Here is a 21,486-nt window from a genome sequence, read left to right as displayed (position 1 = left end):
GCCCAAACCAGTAGGTATTCAATAAATATTTTATTAATTTCATTGCTGATATATAAAATCTATGTTTGAACTGATGTGCAAATACAATCTTTCTGGCTTTTGTGTAGCAATGTGTCTGTCTGTCTATCTACCTATCAATCTTCATGTTTTTATATAGTTACATATATGAGGCCAGCCACAGTGACTCATGCTTGTAATCTCAGCATTTTGGGAGGCTGAGGCAGGTGGATTTCTTGATCTCAGGAGTTCAAGACTAGCCTGGGCAACATGGCAAAACCCATCTCTACAAAAAATACAAAAATTAATCAGGTGTAGCAGTTTGCACCTGTAGTTCCAGCTACTTGAAAGGCTGAGGTGGGAGAATTGCTTGAACCCAGAAAGTCAAGGCTGCAGTGAGTGGTGATCATGCCACTGCATTCCAGCCTGGACAACAGGGTGAGACCCTGTCTTAAAAAAAAAGGATGTAATAATTGCATATAAATTATGACATATCAATAATTGTCTGATTTTCTCCTAAAGATTAGTAGCTCTGTGCTCTAATTGTAGGCATTTTACCAAAACTTAGTTTCTTTTCTGGAAAAAATTGTAGGAAAATAACAACTTTTTATTTTTTTCCTTTATAGTTTTCTGAGCCTTTTATTGGCTCTTTGAAAACATCATCATATAAGTCATGTAAGTAATGCCCTAATGTGTTTGGCCATGCCAGCTTCTTTTTGTGGCTCGTGGTAACTTGAGAAATAATAAAGTAGATAATAAGAATCTAATCCTGGTGCATGGCAAGTGTGAGTATATTTGTGGGACAAATTTGATATGGAGAGTTGATACTCATAGCTTAAAAGCTGCATATACCCACAGTCCTTACAGTTATAGATAAAGTTCTTGCAAGAATCTAGTAAGCAAAAGTCCCCATAATTTCTGGGGAAATGTGTTTTCCCGACATAAGAATAATTATCTTATTATTGCTGCCAAATTCCCATTCTTGCCTATATTGCATACATGATGCTGGAGGAGACTTGTCCCTCCTGTCAACAAGAGGCAAACATGAAGACCAGACAAAAGCCAAAGAGTGTAAATAGCGGAGCTGCAAGATTGAGAGAGTCAAGTTCTCAATGTCATCTTTGAGTCACCATGCTGGTCTAGCTTACTTGCTACTGGATATATTGAAGCATGAAAAAAATTACCCCCTTCCTACTTCTAAGTTTCTTTTACTCATAGCTGAATGAGTTCTCACCAAATTGCTTAAACTAGGTGAAGTTTTCCCTTATTAGTCCAGAATATTTACATAAATAGAATGTTTCAGGAATAGAACAACTTAATAAACAATATTTATAGAAATATGGTTGTGTTTCTACTGAAAACTGTAACTCTCTTCTTGGTATTATGATTTCATATATTTTATATTTGAGTACCGTATACTTTCTGACATTGTAATGGTAGTTATTATTTATTAATGAACCAAACTAACAATCATAACCTCTATCCTTTATTAATCACAATGTACTCTGCAGTGCACTCTGTATAAGAAACCTCCTTAACTATGATTTAAATATACACTTTGAGTGGCATATTCATTCTCATTTAAAGGAAGAAAAACCAGGAGAGTTTAAATAACTTTCTCAGACTTTCATTTCTGTCTATAATATAGTAACAGATATAAGACTTATTCCCTCATGAAGAGCAACAATAAGAGTTTTAAATGCAAAACTCATGTGACTGAAGATTTCAATGCAATTAAGGATTGGAGGAACAAGATCAGAGAGAGAAAATATGCATTGTAGCAAGCCCATCATTTACCTCCATTCTCTTCCATCCCCTTCTGTATGGTTTTTGCTAATCCATGGCTTGGACAGAAAGTCTGAATAGACAAATACAGTCTACAGTTGACAATAAATCCACTGGACTAGGGAGACAAACACTGGAGTCAAAGTTACTAAGCAGTACCTTTACATGTATTAATCATAATTATTTAAAAGTCTGTGTTTGATCATTTCAATATCTACTAAGCCTGAGTGACTATGCTATTACTTAATTTTTCTCTTGGTTTTCAATAATTTGGCCCTATATTCAGGAAGCCAATATTCTAGAAGAAAAATAAAATGTAGAAAATTGAGCCCAGTATTTCATGTGTAATTTACTTTGAGGCATTTTCCACCCCCTAAAACACAAATGCATAGACTAAATAAATAGAAATTAAGAAGAAAATAGCTGCTACAAACCAAGCAGAGAACCTGGCAGTCACACAAGACAAGGAAGTCAAGAGTTGAAGTTCATGTACTAATAAGCAAGAATGGCCCTAGTTAAAGGGGAACATCACACACAGGGGCCTGTTGTGGGGTGGGGGAGGGTGGGATAGCATTAAGAGATATGCCTAATGTAAATGACGAGTTAATGGGTGCAGCACACCAACATGACACATGTATACAGATGGAACAAACCTGCACGTTGTGCACATGTACCCTAGAACTCAAAGTATAATAAAAAAGTATATAAAAAAAAAAGAAAAAAAAAAGAATGGCCCTAGTTAGTACTGCACACTTTCAGTGGGGATGCCAGAAGAGCTCTACCTTGTAGAAAAACAAACAAGAAACAGGTCAGCCTCAACTGAATCAGGTGATTTGCCCACGAGTTTCTACTGGCCAGTAATTAAATAAAAATAATTGATTCTACTAGAAAATAGGGGTCGAATGATTGAAAACCAAGAGAAAAATTAAGTAATAGAATAGTCACTCAGGTTTACTAGATATTGAAATGAAATTCAGACTTTTAAACAATTATGATTAATACATGCTGAAAAATAGAATATTGAAAGTTTCAACAGAGAACTATAATTAAAATTGTGTGTGTTTAGTGTGAAAACCCTAGCACTGAAATTTTTGATAACCATAATAAATAATTCAGTAAGTGGGTGTAGAAGAAGACTGGCTTTGAAAAAGAGAGCATTAATGTATAATCTTATTTTAAAAGAATGAATTAATCAAAGACTATCCATCTTGAAGAACAGAGACCATAAAATGGGACCTGTATATACTCAGTGTTTTGGAAAGAGAAAATAATAGGCAAACACAAAATCAAAGAGCCACTTGTGAATAATTTTTCAAATCTGACAAAAGACATAGTACCAAAAATTGAAGAAGCTACAAGAATCCCAAGTACAAAGAAAATCTAGCCATTTTATAGTAAACCTGTTGAAAATCAAAACAAAGGAAAAAAATCTACAAAAGGAGCTTAAAGGAAGGGCATAATGCTTTGTGTATTAGTTTGTTCTCACATTGCTATAAAGAAATACCTGAGACTGGCTACTTTATAAGAAAAGATGTTTAGTTGGCACATGATTCTGCAGGTGTACAGGAAACACAGTAGCCTCTCCTTCTGGGGAGGCCTCTGCCAGGTTTCAATCATGGAGGTAGATGAAGCAGGAGCTTGTATATTACATGGCAAAAGCAGGAGTGAGACAGCAAGAGGGGAGGTGCTACACACACTTTTATACAACCAGATCTCACAAGAACCCCCTCACTATCATGATGACAGTACCAACAGGAATGGTGCTAAACCATTTGTGAGAAATCCACCCCATGATCTAATCACCTCCTACTAGGCCCCACCTCCAACATTGGCGATTACATTTCTATATGAGATTTGTGTGAGACATACATCCAAACCACATCACCTTCAAAGGAACCAAATAAGACTGATATAGCTGACTCATAAATTACCAGATATATGACAAAAATAACAAAATAACACTTAATGTAGAAGAAAGATGATTTATACTATATCTATTGCAATATATCTACTCATATATAAAAGTATGAATACATAAATGTATACATGTGCACACATATGGATAAAAACATACATATGTGTATACAAACGTGTATGTAAGAAAGCATATGTATTACGTGTATAGTCACATATTTATATATTCATACATACAGATAAATGTGTGTTGTGTGTGTGTAAGAAGGAAAAAAGGAAGGAAAAATAGAAAAAGAAAGAAGCTTGATCACCAGGTTACATAATACAAGGTAATTAATTCCAAGGATCTTAAGCCCAAATGTAAAAGGTAATACAATGAAAACTCCAGAAAATAACAAGATATAGTCGTTACTTTGATATAGTTAAATATATGTTAACAAAACTCAAGAAGCACTAAGTATAAAGGGAAAAATTGGAAAATTGAACTATGGTAAAAATAAGAACTTCTATTCACTCTTAGGAGATTAAAACTGTGAAACTCAAAACCACAGAATGAGAGAATATTTTGACAATTTGAATAATTGTCAGGGAATGTGTTAATCTGAGAAAAAATGATTTAGAATACATACATTTATACAGATTAGTAAGAAAAGACAACCTAATAAAAAACTAAGCACTTCACTAACAAATCTATCTAAATAGATAATCAAATTATGTGGAGGTGCTCAACCTCATTCATCATCGGTGAAATACAGATTAAAACCAATGAGTATGGGAAAAAACAAATCCTGTTGACAATGTTGTGGAGGACTAGAAATCTCATTTACTCTCAGTGAATGTGGAAACTGACACTGCCGCCGAGAAAAGTTGGCAATTTCTACTAACGCTGAACATATGAATACTTCACAGTATAAATAGGGCAAAAATGAGATACAATGTTCAAAGCAACACAATACTTTTTCTTCAGGACAAAATCACATGACATATAATTGACTATTTTAAAGGGTGCAATTCAGTGATATCCAACACATTCTTAATGTTGTATAATCACCATTTCCATCTAGTTCAAAAGCATTTCATTACCACAAAAGAAAACTCTGCACCCATTAAACAGTCAAAGCAAAATAATTATTAATGAACAAAAATATCTCACATTTCCATCAAATTTGGAATGGGTAAATTAGATGTGGTCATAAAACCATTAGTGGTGGTCATGCAATGTGAGAGTGCATAAAATGAAAATGCTCAAATGGCTACTACATGGAACACTGGTACTAAATCTTATACATAGAATATTCTCCAAATGAAATTAGACATAAAACATAGTGTGCTATTACATCTATAAAAATTTCAAAAACAGACTTAGTTATTTTATGGTGACAGAAGTGAGAAGAGTCGTTACCACCGAGTCGTTGGGTACAGTGATAATTGGTAGGGCCCATAAGGCAGGCTTTTGCGATCTTTGAAATATTCTATAATTTGATTTGATAAATGGCTGTCTCAATGAATGTGTTAGCTTCATGAAGATACATCAAACTATACAATTAAGAGTTGTGCACATTACCTTATGTGTTTTACCTCTCTAAAAATAAAAACAAAATTAGGTAAATCTGAAATCATAGAGGAGCATACCTTTAGTAAATTGCAGAGTTGGAATTTGAACCAAAGCATATCTAAATAAAACTTCTTTAAACACTATAATGTCATACTATTCCTTTTTCACAGTAATACCTGAAAGCTCACTATGCTTTCTTAAAAAACTCCAGTATATAAGAAAACAGGCATTGCCATAAATATTATAACTGAAAATTATTGATTGTATGTTCTCAATTATTATTTTACTTATTCAGCATTGTTACATACCACCTAAACGTTTTGTAGCCCCCAATGATAGAAATTAAGTTACATTTTGTCTTAGCCCAACTAACTTTTTCTTGCTACATCTACAATATACCTCTGCTCTCTTTTCAGTGACAAGAGATCTTGTAAAAGCTTATAGCTGAACATCTGTAGATTTAATAATTGCTTGAATCATGTACTCCTCAATGATAAAGATCTGAAGCCTAGCTATTTGAGTTGTAAAATAGAAGGTTCCAATTCTTGGCTTTCCTTGACAATTTAAAATTATATTTAAGCAAGACTCAAAGCTTTAATGAAATGTATGTTTTAACATTCATTATATTAGACTCAGATTTCTTTGATTTGTCTGGGGAAGAAACATAAAGTTGAGTTAAACACACATAAAGTTGAGTTAAACACTATCTCCTTGCCAATTTCAAAGTCTACTTTGTCAATCTTAGAAGAAAATATTGATGTTAGCTTAGTTTTTTGCTGAGATTCATTTTAATAATTTATTTCTTCAAAAATAATTCATTGAGCACCCTCCATTCAGCAGGTTTAATTATAGGTACTAGAGATACAGCAAACAAACAAAAGTTCCTGCTCTCATAGCTTTACTTTCCAGTGAGGGATTCAGGTAGTAAGTAAAGAGTAAATGATATAATTTTTCATTTCAAAACAATGCAATGAAGCATATTAAGATAGGGTAAGGAGAAGGCTATGCTTGGTTTAGGTTGGAGTTGCACTTTTAATGAGGGTGGTGAAAGTAAATTTTGCATTTAAGAATGTGACTATCTTAGGTAAGATTTCCAGGAAACTAACTCTGAAGCAAGAAATTAGGTACAAGTAAGTTGTGTGTGGTGATTCCCAAGAACCATGGCAGGAAACAGGCAAGTGCTGAGAAGGAAAGGATTCCAATAAAAAGTGTACAAATGATCAGGAAGCTGCCACAGGCAACCCAGGCTCCATCCTTCTATGGAATTCTGGGAGACTGTGTGAACCATGTCTCATATTTTATCATCCAAAGATTGAGGGAAATGGGAGGCACTTGGCTACTAATTCCCTTCTCTAATTAACTGAAGGCTGCTTTGGGGAACATTTTTTACCTTCTGGCCTGACCTGTATGCATGTCAATCATGCACCATTGGCCAATGAAAGCAACATCTCAGACGCATGCAGCAAAAGGTCTCAAACATATAGGCGAATCAGAATTGCTGAAGGAAAATGGGCAGGGCATGGGAAGCTCAGCCATAGTGACACTTGTAAAAGCCTGGAAGTGGTAAGAGGGAATGTTACACAGTATATGGAGGAGGAGTATACTTGGAGAGATCAGCAAGTACAAAACACCTAAGTAGGCAAACATTGCTTGTAAAAAATAGTTTCATTCTACCTACCTCAATATCTATATTTGCATCTATAGCTATACTATTGTTCAACTTGTATTTGGTCTATATATTGGATGGCTGACATATCATTTTGGAATACTCATTCACCAATACAAATGTTAGAACAAATCTTACTGTATAGGAGAAGCTAAATAAATTCTTATTATTTATTTTACTCTCTAACTTATTTTACTGTCTATGTAGAGAGTAAAAAAAAGTTAAAAAAAAACTGGTACTCATGAAGGGTAAAGATTTTATTTAGTGGTAAATATCTCTAAACTAAGTTTATTGACACAATTGTTGTTACTTGGATAGCCAAGTTGTTTCCAGTCATTCTTTTTTACTGAGGCCAAAGTGCTCAGTTACAGTTACAAAAACAGAATGATACTTTGGGAGGCCAAGGCAGGTGGTTCACCTGAGGTCAGTAGTTCGAGACCAGCCTAACCAGCATGGAGAAACCCTGTCTCTACTAAAAATACAAAATTAGCCAGGAGTGGTGGCACATGCCTGTAATCCCAGCTACTCGGGAGGCTGAGGCAGGAGAATTGCTGGAACCTGGGAGGCAAAGGTTGCGGTGAGCCGAGATTGCACCATTGCACTCCAGCCTGGGCAACAAGAGTGAAATTCCATCTCAAAACAAACAAACAAACAAACAAAAAGAATGCTGCTGCTCATTTAGCAAAAAGGACACTCATTTAGGACACTGTTCCTGTTGAAGGGTCACTGTTCTACAATCCCTTAGCCTTCGTATTGTTCATCTTTTAATCAATGTTTAAATCAATCTATTCCAAACTTATCTTTTGATGTAAAACACTAGTAATGCATGGCCCAGTAAAACTTCTTAGTAGTGCATGACATAGTAATGGTAAGCATTTAGAATATCAATTTTTATATATTTACATATAATGTTTACATTTGCATACAGGTAGGGTTAGTATTACCATCTCCCTCTCATAGATGATTACACAGAGCCATGGCAATAGTATGCAGCTTGCCCAAATTTACATATATTCAAACTGTTTCATTGCAATTGTGAAATCCACACTCTTTCCACCATGGCTAATCACATCCATATATATATATATATATATATATATATATATATATATATATATATGAGTTACATGATGTAATTTTAAGTCCTGATAGCAGTTTTCATCGTATATGAACAGTACACAATGTAGAAAATAATGCATGGTATTCATATTAAGAAAGTGAGTAAAAAAGCAATAAGACAATATAAATGATAAAATACTACTTTTTGCCTTTTTTTTCTTTAAGACATTCATTTTGCAAATCACAAAAACAGCTGGTTGCTTTCTCTAAGTCAGAGCCTCAAGAAGTTTCATAAATAATGTGAAATGAATACACATAAATATCTGTGCTATAATGGTGTATTCCTTTGAGAAAAATAAGTGCATTATATACTTTACCAATGCCAATTGGAGCAGCTTTCCTGGGATGAGTAATTATTCAAATGACTTTGTTTTTTTACTGGAACTTTTTAACCTTATGCACGTGTTTTGTTTTCATTATCAGGAAAAAATGGGTCCTTGTCTTAGCAATAATTGTTCACAAAATATTTCAAGTTATATTTTCATAAAAAATAATATGTTCTAAAGAACATAAATCACAATAAATTTTATTCTATATTTTTGTGATATACTTTATGTGTAGCTATATGTGTGCATATATATATACAGACACACACATACATATAAAGTTTTACTGAAGCATAACACATATTCAGAAATTGCAAATTCTTAAGTGAACAACCCAGTACCTTTGCACAGTGAATGCATGTCTATAATTAATATAACTCTAACAGGAAATAAAATATTACCAATATTTGAAAGATTATTTTGTACCTCTTCCTAGTTATTAAACTCAGTCTACCCCAAAGATAATCAGTAGATTGACTACTTTTTCCAAAATAAAATGTAACCATTTTTGCAGCCTATATAAATAAAATTATACAAGACATAATATTTGTTTATTACATCTTTTCTCAACATTAGGTTTGAGACTCACTCATGTTGTCACGTATAGCAAAAGTTTGCTCATTCTCATTGATATATTTTATTCTATTATGTAAATATTTTAAAAGATATTCATCAGTTTTACTGCGGGAGGACATTTGGATAATTTCCAGTTTTTGTCTGTTGCAGAGAGCTGTCGAGCAATCGAATGTGTATCTTTTGATGCTATATGCATATACTTCTTGAATATGAAACTAGGAGTGGAATTCTTGAGTCATAAGATGAGTACATTTTCAGCATTAGTATGTATTGCCAGTTTCTCAAACTGCTTTTGCTAATTTCCGGTTCTTTCAGTTGTATATGAATTTCACATTCCCTCAAATCTTGAAATGATTATTTTAATAAATTTTGCTAAATATGGTGAATGAATATTTTTGATGAGAAATAATATGGAATATTCTCTTACATGGTATTGGTCATTTGGATATCTTATTTTGTGAAGATTTTGAACAAATATTTTTGCCTTTACATATTGGATTATTTTCTTTCTAATTTTTAGAGGTTTTATGTGTGAACTTATTATAAATGTCATATTTGCAGTATAATTGGCATAAATTAGGCTACACATATTTAAAGTGTGAGATTTGATAAGTGTAGACACGTGTATATACTACTGAAACCATCATGACAATCAAAATAATGAACACGTCTGTTACACACAAAAATTTTGTGATCCTTTGCAATTCCTCACACCAATTCTTCCACCCCCACCTTTCTGGTTCCCAGGCAACAGCTGATCTGCTTTCTGTCACTATGGATAAGTTTGCATTTTTAGAATCTTATATAAATGAAGTCATATAGTATGTACTTTTTTGTTTAGCTTCTCTCAGTATAATTTAGAAATTCATCTGTATTGTTACATATGTCAATAAATCTTTCCTCTTGGGGAGTTGTTTAAGAGGTATAGAGTTTCAGTTCTGAAAGATGAAAATGTTCTGGAGATTAGTTGTGCAACAAAGTGAATATACTTAATACTACAGAACCGTACCTCAGAAATAGTTACTATGGTAAACTTTATGTTATGCATTTTTGTTAGAATAAAACATTAAGATAAAAATTTAATACTTTGATTTTAACTCAAAGAATTTTAACTGAAAGAATTCCATGTTAAGATATGGAAGACTGGAGTAAGGTCAGATTTGCAACGATATGGTAGAGTCAATTGTTCTATTTTGCCGTGTTTGAATTTTAAAATCCTTGTTAGAGAGCCAGGAATTGAGATCAGTATGCAGATGGAGAATCATATTTAAAGCACAGTGGAAAAAGGTCAGGTTGCAGACCTAAATTTGGTAGTCAACAGGAAAGATTATATGTAAAGCCATGGAACCGGAGAAGATTATCTGCAGGGAAAGTATAGATTGAGAAGAAAAAGAGATCCATGATCAGTCAAGAAATACTCCAAACATATTATTCAGAGGAAAAGAAGCCGGCAAATGAGCCTGGGATTGAAAGGCTTTGCATGGTATGAAAGAAATAAGAAGAATGTAGTACCACTAAAGACGAGAAGAGAATCATTCAAGAAGGAATCACATAATTGTTAGAACATCAGGTAAAATGAGGACTATTTTAGTGCCTTTGGTGATATGGATGTTCTATAAAAGCGAGTTGAGAAGATATTGTAAAATGAGAAAATAAATATTTTGAGATATTTTCCAATGTAGAAATATGGTTACTAGAGAGACAAATGAAGTAGTAGAGGGGTTTATTTTTGAAAGCATAAAAATATTAAAACAGTATTAAACACCGATGAGGATGAATTAACGCAGAGGGAGTAACTTATATGAATAAGAAGAATTAGCATGAGAAAGTTTGGTAAAACTTTGTTAAAAGAGTTTTGTAGACAGGCCGGGCATGGTGGCATGTGCCTGTAATCCCAGCACTTTGGGAAGCCGAGGCGGGCGCATCACGAGGTCAGGAGATTGAGACCATCCTGGCTAACAAGGCGAAACCCTGTCTCTACTAAAAAATACAAAAAATTAGCCTGACATGGTGGCAGGCGCCTGTAGTCCCAGCTACTCGGGAGGCTGAGGCGGGAGAATGGTGTGAACCCAAGAGGAAGAGCTTGCAGTGAGCCGAGATCGTGCCACTGCACTCCAGCCTGGGTGACACAGCGAGACTCCGTCTCAAACAAACAAACAAAAACAACAACAAAAAAAAAACAGTTTGGTAGCTAGTTGGGATGGGTTGATATTTGGGCTCTCCTACACAGGGGCTATTGTTTTCTCAGTGAAGTTTAAGGCTATTCCATCAGTTGTAATTAAGATTTTTGCAGTAGTGAGTGTTCATTTGTTATTCATGGTCAGTAATTTAAAGTAGTAACAATTGTCAGGATTTTGAATTTTTCTCCAGGTCTATTCAGCATGCTTCTATGACAAAATGAGGGGTTGAAATTTCAGTTTAATCACTTTAATAGAAAACATCCACATTAATGGATAATTATGTTTGAGAAACCTGTGTAATAACATGAAACTATAATTACGGTATTGTGTCAACAGAAATTTACATGTGTATATATGTGTGTGTGTGTGTGTATATATATACACACACACACATATATAATGTCAGTGGAAATATAAATATACTTCATACATATTGCAAGTTTGGTTCCAGACACCTGCAAAATGAATATTGCAGTAATGCAAGTCCCATAAAATTGTTGTTTCCCAGTGCATATTATAGTTATGTTTATGCTATACCATAATATATTAACCTTGGAATAGAATTATATCTAAAGAACAATGTACACAACTTAATTTAAAAATACCTTATCGCTAAAAACTTGAGTATTATCTGAGCCTCTAACAAGTTGTAATTCTCTCTGCTGGAGGAGGGTCTTACCTCAATGTTGATGGCTGCTGACTGATCAAGGTGGTGGTTGCTGAAGATTGGGGTGACCATGGCAATTTGTGAAAATAAAACAACAATTAAGTTGGTTACATTGACTGATTCCTTTTTTTTTTTTTTTGAGACAGAGTTTTGCTCTTTGTTGACCAGTCAACACTGACCAGTTGGTACTGGTACCAAAACAGAGATATAGATCAATGGAACAGAACAGAGCCCTCAGAAATAACGCTGCATACCTACAACTATCTGATCTTTGACAAACCTGAGAAAAACAAGAAATGGGGAAAGGATTCCCTATTTAATAAATGGTGCTGGGAAAACTGGCTAGCCATATGTAGAAAGCTGAAACTGGATCCCTTCCTTACACCTTATACAAAAATTAATTCAAGATGGATTAAACACTTAAATGTTAGACCTAAAACCATAAAAACCCTAGAAAAAAACTTAGTCAATACCATTCAGGACATAGGCATGAGCAAGGACTTCATGTCTAAAACACCAAAAGCGATGGCAACACAAGCCAAAATTGACAAATGGGATCTAATTCAACTAAAGAGCTTCTGCACAGCAAAAGAAACTAGCATCAGAGTGAACAGGCAACCTACAGAATGGGAGGAAAATGTTGCAATCTACCCATCTGACAAAGGGCTAATATCCAGAATCTACAAAGAACTCACAGAAATTTACAAGAAAAAATCAAACAATCCCATCAAAAAGTGGGCAAAGGATATGAACAGACACTTCTCAAAAGAAGACATTTATGCAGCCAACAGACACATGAAAAAATGCTCATCATCACTGGCCATCAGAGAAATGCAAATCAAAACCACAATGAGATACCATCTCACACCAGTTAGAATGGCAATCATTAAAAAGTCAGGAAACAACAGGTGCTGGAGAGGATGTGGAGAAATAGGAACACTTTTACACTGTCAGTGGGACGTGAAGTAGTTCAACCATTGTGGAAGACAGTGTGGCAATTCCTCAAGGATCTAGAACTTGAGGATCCTTGACCCAGCCATCCCATTCCTGGGTATATACCCAAAGGATTATAAATCATGCTTCTATAAAAGCACATGCACATGTATGTTTATTGCAGCACTATTCACAATAGCGAAGACTTGGAACCAACCCAAATGTCCATTAATGATTGCCTAGATTAAGAAAATGTGGCACATATACACCATGGAATACTATGCAGCCATAAAAAAGATGAGTTCATGTCCTTTGTAGGGACATGGATGAAACTGGAAACCATCATTCTCAGCAAACTGTTGCAAGAACAAAAAACCAAACACTGCATGTTCTCACTCATAGGTGTGAATTGAACAATGAGAACACTTGAACACAGGAAGGGGAATATCACACACCGAGGCCTGTTGTGGGGTGGGGGGAGGGGGGAGGGAAAGCATTAGGAGGTGTACTCAATGTTAATGATGAGTTAATGGGTGCAGCACACCAACATGGCACATGTATACATATGTAACAAACCTGCACGTTGTGCACATGTACCCTAGAACTTAAAGTATAATAATAATAATAATAATAAAAATAATAATAAAAAAAATCAGTTGGTTGATTTGGCTTTATCTCTGAATTCTCTATTTTGTTGCATTGGTCTATGCATCTGCTTTTATATTAGTACCGTACTATTTTGGTTACTATATCCTTGTAGTATAATTTGAAGTCAGGTAATGCCATGCCTCCAGATTTGTTCTTTTTGCTTAGAATTGTTTTTGCTATTTAGGCTCTTTCTTGGTTCCAAAGAAATTTTATAATTATTTTTTCTATTTATGTGAAAAATGATGCTGGTATTTTGGTATAAATTGTATTGAATCTGTAGATTGCTTTGGGCAGTATGATCATTTTCATGATATTAATTATTCCAGTCCATGAGCATCGGATGTATTTCCATGTGTTTGTGTTGCCTATGATTTATTCCAGCAGTGTTTTGCAGTTCTAGGTGTAGAGTTCTTTTACCTCCTTGTTTAAGCATATTCCTAGATTTTTTTTAGTTATTGTAAAAGGGATTGAGTTGTTGATTTGTTTTCAGCTTGGTTGTTATTGGCATATAGAAGTGCAGCTGATTTGTGTATATTGATATTGTAACCCAAGACTTTACTAAATTTATTTATCAACTCTAGGAGTCTTCTGAAGGACTCTTTAGGGTTTCCTAGGTATATGATCAAATCATCTGCAAACAGATAAGTTGACTTCCTATTTTCTGATTTGGATGTATTTATTTATTTCTTTTCCCTGATTGCTCTGGCTAGGACTTTCAGTGCTATGTTGAATAGAAGTGATGAAAATGGGCATCCCTGTATTCTTCCAGTTCTTATAGGGAATGTTTTCTTCTTTTCCCCATTCAGTATGAGTTGGCTGTGGGTTTGTCATACATGTTTTTTATTATTTTGAGGTATGTTCCTTCTATGCCTAGGTTACTGAGAGTTTTTATCATAAAGGGATGCTGGGTTTTATTGAATGGCTTTTCTATGTCTATTGAGATTATCATATGGTTTTTGTTTTTAATTCTGTTTTTGTGGTGAATCACATTTGTCAGTTTGTGTGTGTTGAATCATCCCTGTATCCCTGGAATGAAACCCACATAATCATAGTGAATTATCATTTTGAAGTGCTGTCGAATTTGGTTTGCTAATATTTTGTTGAGGATTTTTGCATCTATGTTCATCAGGAATGTTGGTCTGTAGTATTTTTGTTGTTGTTTTTATGTTATTCCCTGTCTTTGTTATTAGAATGATACTGGCTTCATAGAATGAGTTAGGAATATTCCCTCTTTCTCAATCATTTGAAATCGTTTCTGTAGGATAGGCATCAATTCCTCTTTAAATGTTTGGTGGAAATTGGCTGTGAAGCCATCTGACCCTGAACTTTTGTTTGCTGACAAATTTTTTGTCACTGATTCAATCACACTGCTTGTTATTGGTCTGTTCAGGATTTCTGTTTCTTCCTGATTCAAGCTAAGAGGGTTGTATGTTTTCAGGAATTTATCCACTTCCTCTGGACTTTCTAGTTTGTATGTATAGAGGTGTTTATAATGGTCTTGAAGGATCTTTTCTATTTCTGTGGTGTCAGTTGTAATGTCTCTATTTTAATTTCTAATTGAGTTTATTTGAACCTTCTCTCTTCTTGGCTAATCTGGCTAGTGGTCTATCAATTTTGTTCATCTTTTCAAAGAAAAAACTTTTTGCTTCATTTACCTTTTGTATTGATTTTTGATTTCAAATTCACTTAGTTCTGCTCTGATCTTTGTTGTTGTTGTTTATCTTCTGCTAGCTTTGGATTTGTTTTTTTCTTGTTTATGTAGTTTCTTGTGGTGTGATGTTAGGTTGTCTATTTGTGATCTTTCAGACTTTTTGATGTAGGTATTTAGTGCTATAGACTTTCCTCTTAGCATTGCGTTTGCAGTATCACAGAGGTTTTGATAACTTGTGTCACTGTTATCATTCATTTTGAATAGTTTTTAGATTTTCATCTTGATTTTATTGTTAACCTAAGCATAGTTCAGAAGTAGGTTGTTTAATTTCCATGTATTTGTATAGTTTTGAGGATTCCTTTGGGAATTAATTTCTAATTTCATTCTGCTATGGTTTGAGAAGATACTTGATATTGTTTCAAGTTTTTAAAATTTATTGAGAATTGCTTTGTGGTTTGTTATGTGTTCTATCTTGGAGAATGATTTGTAGGCTGATGAGAATAATGTATATTTTGCAGTTATTGGGTAGAATGTGCTATAAATATCTGTTAGGTTCATTTGCTGTAGAGTGTAGTTTAAGTCCAGTGTTTCTTTGTTGACTTTCTGCCTCAACGATCTGTCTAATGCTGTCAGTGGAGTGTTGAAATCGCTTCTATCATTGTGTTGGTGTTTGCCTCTTTTCATAGGTTTAGTAGGAATAATTTTGTGAATCTGGGAGCTACAGTGCATATATATATTTAAGCTTATAACATCTTTTTGTTGGATTATCCTTTTATCATTATATAATGACCTTCTTTGTCTTTTTATTTTTTTTACTTTTGTTGCTTTAAGTTCTGTTTCATCTGATATGAGAATAGCTACTCCTGCTTGCCCTCAGTTTCCATTTGTGTGGAATATATTTTTCTATCCCTTTAGCTTGAGTCTATAGGAATCCTTACATGGTTAGGTGTGTGTCTTGAAGACAGCATTATTTGGTTTGTGATTACTGTATCAATTCTGACAGTCTGTATCATTTAAGTGGAGCATTTATATAATTGACATTAAAAGTTACTATTGAGATGTGACATATTGTTCCAGTCATCATATTGATTGTTACATAGTTACTTTGTTTTCTTCATGTTTTATTGTTTTATAGGGATGCCATCTTCTATTAGAAGGCTGTTTCATTATCGAAAATTTGTTGTTTACTCTAGCCACTTTCATCAGTTGTCTTAGGCTGATCTTCTGGATAACTTGCTTCAGCTTCTGCATCAACCCTTGCTGTTTCACTTTGCACTTTTAAGTCATACAGAGGGCATCATTCCTTAAATATCATAAACGAACCTCTGCTGGCTTCAAACTTTTCTTCTTCAGCTTCCTCAACTCTCTCAGCTTTCATAGAATTAAAGATAATTAGGGCCTTGCTCTGGATTAGGCTTTATCTTAAGTGGATATTGTGGCTGGTTTGATATTTTATCCTGACCACTAAACCTGTCTCCATATCTGTAATACAGTTGTTTTGATTTCTTATCATTCATGTTTTCACTGGACTAGCACTTTTAAGAACTTTTCCTGTGCATTCACAACTTGCCTAACTGTTTAGCATAAGAAGCCTAGCTTTTAGCCTATCTTGGCTTTTGACATGCCTTCCTCACTAAAGTTAATCATTTCTACCATTTGACTTCAAGTGAAAGACCATGACTCTTCCTTTCACTTGAACACTTAGAAGCCATTGTAGGGCTATCGATCAGCTAAATTTCAATATTTTTGTGTCTCAGGGAACAGGGAGTCTCTAGTAGAAGAAGAAAGATGAGTAACAGCTGGTCAGTGCGGTAGTCTGAACATGCACAACATTTCACTGTCTTACATGGTTGTGGTGTGTGGTGCCCCATAACAATTACAAGAGTAATATCAATGATCGTAGATATAATGAAACAGATAAAATATACAATAATAATGGAAAAGCTTGATATATTGTGTGAATGACCAAAGTGTGACAAAGAGACACAAAGTGAGCACTTTGTATTAGAAAAATGGTGCTGATAATTTATTCAATGCAGGGTTACCACAAATGTTCAATTTGTAAAACTGCAATATCTACAAAGTACAATAAAGCAAATTGCAATAAAACAATGTGTTCTTGTATTTGTAAAGAGACTGAGAATAACTAGAACAAATAAATACTATAAGTCATTTAACTAATATGATATGTTATGATAATTTTATTTTGCCTTCCTCATTTTCTTTTTAATATATTCATTTAGAGAGGGGGACGTCAACAATAACTTTTAGTGGAAAAATTGATTTACTCCTACAACCATATTATGTAATACTTGAACTGTTCCAAACCTCATTATCTAATCAAGACCTTAATATGACTATTTGTATATGTAGATATACATAGGTATATATAAATACAAATTGTGTACATTGGAAAATAACTAGTAAAAATGTCTACAATCTTCTTCTAAAATATAAGCATTAAGAATTTCAGAATCATTCTAAAATGATTAGCTCAATATTTTCAGCAATACTGTTTTTAATAATGATTAGAATTTTTTGTAATAAAGACATAAAAATTCTGATATCTTAGGGATTTTTTTGTCTATTACTGAATTTATAAATTAACTCACTGCCACTAAAATTTTCCAAACAAATTTATATCTTGGGCTAATTATTTTCATTTCTACATCGAAAATTACATAAAGTGGAGATATTTAGCTTATTCACTCCCATAACCTCAGAACTTAACAAAAAACCTGTCACTTAGCAAATAATCAATAGGTAATTCTTAAATTTTAAACATTTTTAACATAACATCATATATAATTGTCTTTTTGAACTGTATTTGCAAATAATTTCCAAAATAATTAGGCATAGGAAAAGGTCTCAATGTATCACAGCTCCGAATATGTTACAATAATTCACTAAATGCCTATTCTCCAATTGAAATCACCAAGCTAAATCACACAAACCTCTTTTAAAGAAAAATATTCGATACATTGTTTTAAAAGAAAACGTTGTTTGGATGTAGCTGAACATCAGAAGTTCCTCTAGTTAAGAATTTCAAGTCCTTATCCTTTGAGTCTTAGTTATATCATGATATAACTATAATGGAGAATAATAATGCTGTCTTCACTGTTCTAATAAAATAATTAAACATGAAAATGTTAGTGGAAAATTTTATAAAGACAATTGTTACATAATAATAAGGGATAATAGTTAACTGATACAAACTATTAAAAAAACAGTATGTAGGTCTTCTCCCCCCACACTCTGACTCCCTAAGTAACATAATTAGAAGATTAATGAAATCTGTTGTCTTAAAAGACTAGCATATATCAGCCTATAATCCTCTGAATTATATTGTCATAAGTTGTCATTTTTTGAGATTTCTACAATCATAAATTGTTGCACAAAATTGTTTTGTTGCACAAAATTGTTTTGTTGCACAAAATTGTTTTGTTGCACTTGCTTAATCTGTATACAGATGAAAAATAAGATACCAGATATAAAAATGCAAAAAGAAAAAATCTCTCCATCCAGTTAATTCATATTTTTCGTAGTGGTACTGCTGGTAACGCTTAACCAGGCTTTAAACCCATGGGAAGCAAGGCAAAGATTATATAATCATATAGTTGTAAGATCAATGTATTGCTTAGATCATTATAAAGAGTGACACAAATTGAGACTATTTTTATTGAGACTTAATTTTTGATCTAGTGTTCATATTCATTTGATAACAAGAATATGCCACTTGTAGTTATAATGAGTTAATGCTTCCAGAAATATTGAATGTTTAAAAATTTCAAAAAAGCCAATGCTTTGTGACCTCTTCATTGCTCCCATAAAATTTAAGGATGTGATTGTGTCTGGGCCACTTTGAAGGTTTAGGCAAAGGAACAGTGGAATATTTAATGAAACTTAGAAATGCAGCAGAGCTGGTCTCAGACTCTGGGGTGTGTTGTAAGCATTATTGATGTGGGTTTTTTGCAAAGCAGAGATATAGAATGTTCATTTGAGTTTTATCAAATAGTAAATGAAAGAGACTTAATAATACTGATATCTCATTAGTACATAAATACTGGCCTGACTATTGTTAAATTTAAAAATAAAGACATATAGGTGCTAAGTAAATTTACGTACCAGACAGTATCATCTTGATTTATAATTGTGTGTATTTTTTTTAATCTTAGACCACACTTTCAGACATGGTAATAGAACTGACACTCACAAATGCATGCTTTCTTTAAAGATATTAATCTCAGTATTGAACAGAGAAACCAAACAGCTTGTATTGAAAGTAGAAATGTAATGGGCTTGTTTGGAGAAAGTCTACCAGAATAACAGTCACTAGATTCAACATGCAAGTGCCATCATGATGAATGTTTACAACACTTTTTTGAGATCCAATTATACTGTTTTTTTGTGCAGGAACTGGAGATCAGCCAGATCACTTGTATGCACAAAGCTGCTGTGGATCTGTCTTTCAAACAAGAGCTGCAGAAAACGCTATAGCAAGGTTGAAGCTTTATCCACTCTGGTAAGAGAAGCTTTCTTTTTCTTTGCTATGGTGAGAGTTTGATAAGAAATCCTTTTAAACCATAATGTGGTCAGGGAGAGGAGACTCTGTTATATGTTTATAAGTCAGAAAATGTTTTTTCTTTGAAATATTTTTTTCACTATGCTTTGTGCCTTTATGTTATAGCAAGATAAAACTGAAACACTGAGTCATATTGCACATGTTAAATTTGTATTGGACATAGGGAAGTCTTAAACTACTCTTCTGTTGAGTGAAATGTGAAGTCATTTTATGTTTATACTGTAGATCTTCTGGACAGGACAAAGGGAAGAAAGATTGGTATTCTGATACCATGGCTGAGAGTGAATCTATGTGTTTAAGTTTTCCCCTGACCAATGGTGTTATTAATTCCCAGAAGCTCACCACCACCAAATTCGGCCTTTGGATTCACTTGCAGATATTTTTGACCACTCTATTCTCTTTTTATATTTAAAATTGGAAAAGCTGGGGATTATTCTGGATGAGTTTATTTGAATATGGTTTTCTCACTTTAGCTCTAAAGACTGTAACTGTGCACATATATACAAAGTACAAAATTCTGTTTTTCATGTAATTTCTTCAGCCTGTAATGTGCTTCAACATTTGTATGAGAATCTCTACCTATTATAAACTCTATCTGAATTCATATCAGTCTAAAATGACAATAAATATTGAGAGCATATACATGTGTATACATATACACATGTATATAAGTACATATGTGTAAGTATATATAAATATTTGACATGAGCAAAATTAATTTTAGATAATTACACATTTACATATTAAAGCAATGTAATCCCTATGGAAATTTATAGCTTTTAATTTTCATTTATATGGCCCTTCCTTTTCATTTTCTTGGTAAACTTTAGTTCAGAAAACAATAACATAAATATCAAAAAGACTTTACAACCAAAGAGCTACATCTGAAGATAAATTATTTTTTAAATAAACTTGTATGATTCAGATTTTATTCTTTTTAAGTTGCTCAGTTACATCCATGATTTAATGTATATATCTATGAGATTTAAATACAATCATTTTCAGGAGTTTACACCAGAATAGCCTTCCAGGCTTCAAAGTTATAAGTAGCTTGCCATGTCTGTCTAATAAGTTGCCAATAAAAATTCATGCTTATCTGATAACTTCAATAGGTATTTATTGATTAGGTACATTGCTAAAAGCTTCCAGGAGAGGAAATATGTAGCTTAAATAAATTTAACCTAACATCTGTATAGATTTAATGAGGATTTAACATATATGCTTAAAAATAATGAATTCATAGTGAAGGTCTGGCTAAGGACAAATAGCAGAGTCAGGAGGAGTCAGTAATGACAATGAATACAATGAGACTTAATTTTTCAGATGTAAAAAATAATTCTATGCTTTAATGCACGAGCTTAAAAAACTTTAGCAATGCCGTTTTCCCCTTGTTCTGCCCTCATTTAAATTATGCATGCATTCAATTCAACCCATTTGAAATATTTACCTGTGTACCTTGCACTGAAAGAAATACAGACAGCCTTGCCTCTGAAAGAGATTCTAGTTTAAAGGGGAGCTGAGGGGAAAAAAAGTCATTAACTATGTTACCATGAATCCATGTAGTAAAAAAAAATATATTTGCTTTAAATTTCTGTGGTTTCTGCACTCTTAAAGACTGTTGCAATAGGCACATGCAGCAAGCTACAACAACAAAAAAGTATCAATTCCCTCAGTTTATATCTTTCCAACTTTTAAGCGAATCTCAGACAGAAAGAAAATCCTTCTGTGTATATATATATGCACACACACACATACACGTGTGTGTGTGAATGTGTGTATGTATGCACACACATACATATATATGTATATCATTTTATATATATAGTTATAAATATATGTGTGTGTGTTTTTTTCCTTTCATTGTTATCTTCACGTTTAGGAGCTACA

At 33.4% G+C, this 21,486-nt stretch overlaps 1 protein-coding gene across 3 annotated transcripts in view; it reads left to right on the top strand.

Moving 5' to 3' along the window:
• MGAT4C (MGAT4 family member C) overlaps positions 1–21,486 on the top strand; it is an 883,334-nt gene that overhangs the window by 384,305 nt on the left and 477,543 nt on the right. For all 3 annotated transcript variants that reach the window (NM_013244.5, NM_001351286.2, NM_001351285.2), the window contains one exon: positions 19,431–19,539. The gene's annotated coding sequence lies outside the window, so the exon portion shown is untranslated. The remainder of the gene's footprint in view (positions 1–19,430; positions 19,540–21,486) is intronic.

This window comes from Homo sapiens, chromosome 12 (genome assembly GCF_000001405.40).
Source record: "Homo sapiens chromosome 12, GRCh38.p14 Primary Assembly".
In the NCBI taxonomy this organism is placed as follows: Eukaryota; Metazoa; Chordata; class Mammalia; order Primates; family Hominidae; genus Homo; species Homo sapiens.
The sequence above is the reverse complement of the archived record's forward strand: the minus strand, read 5'-3'. Positions and strand labels throughout refer to the sequence as shown.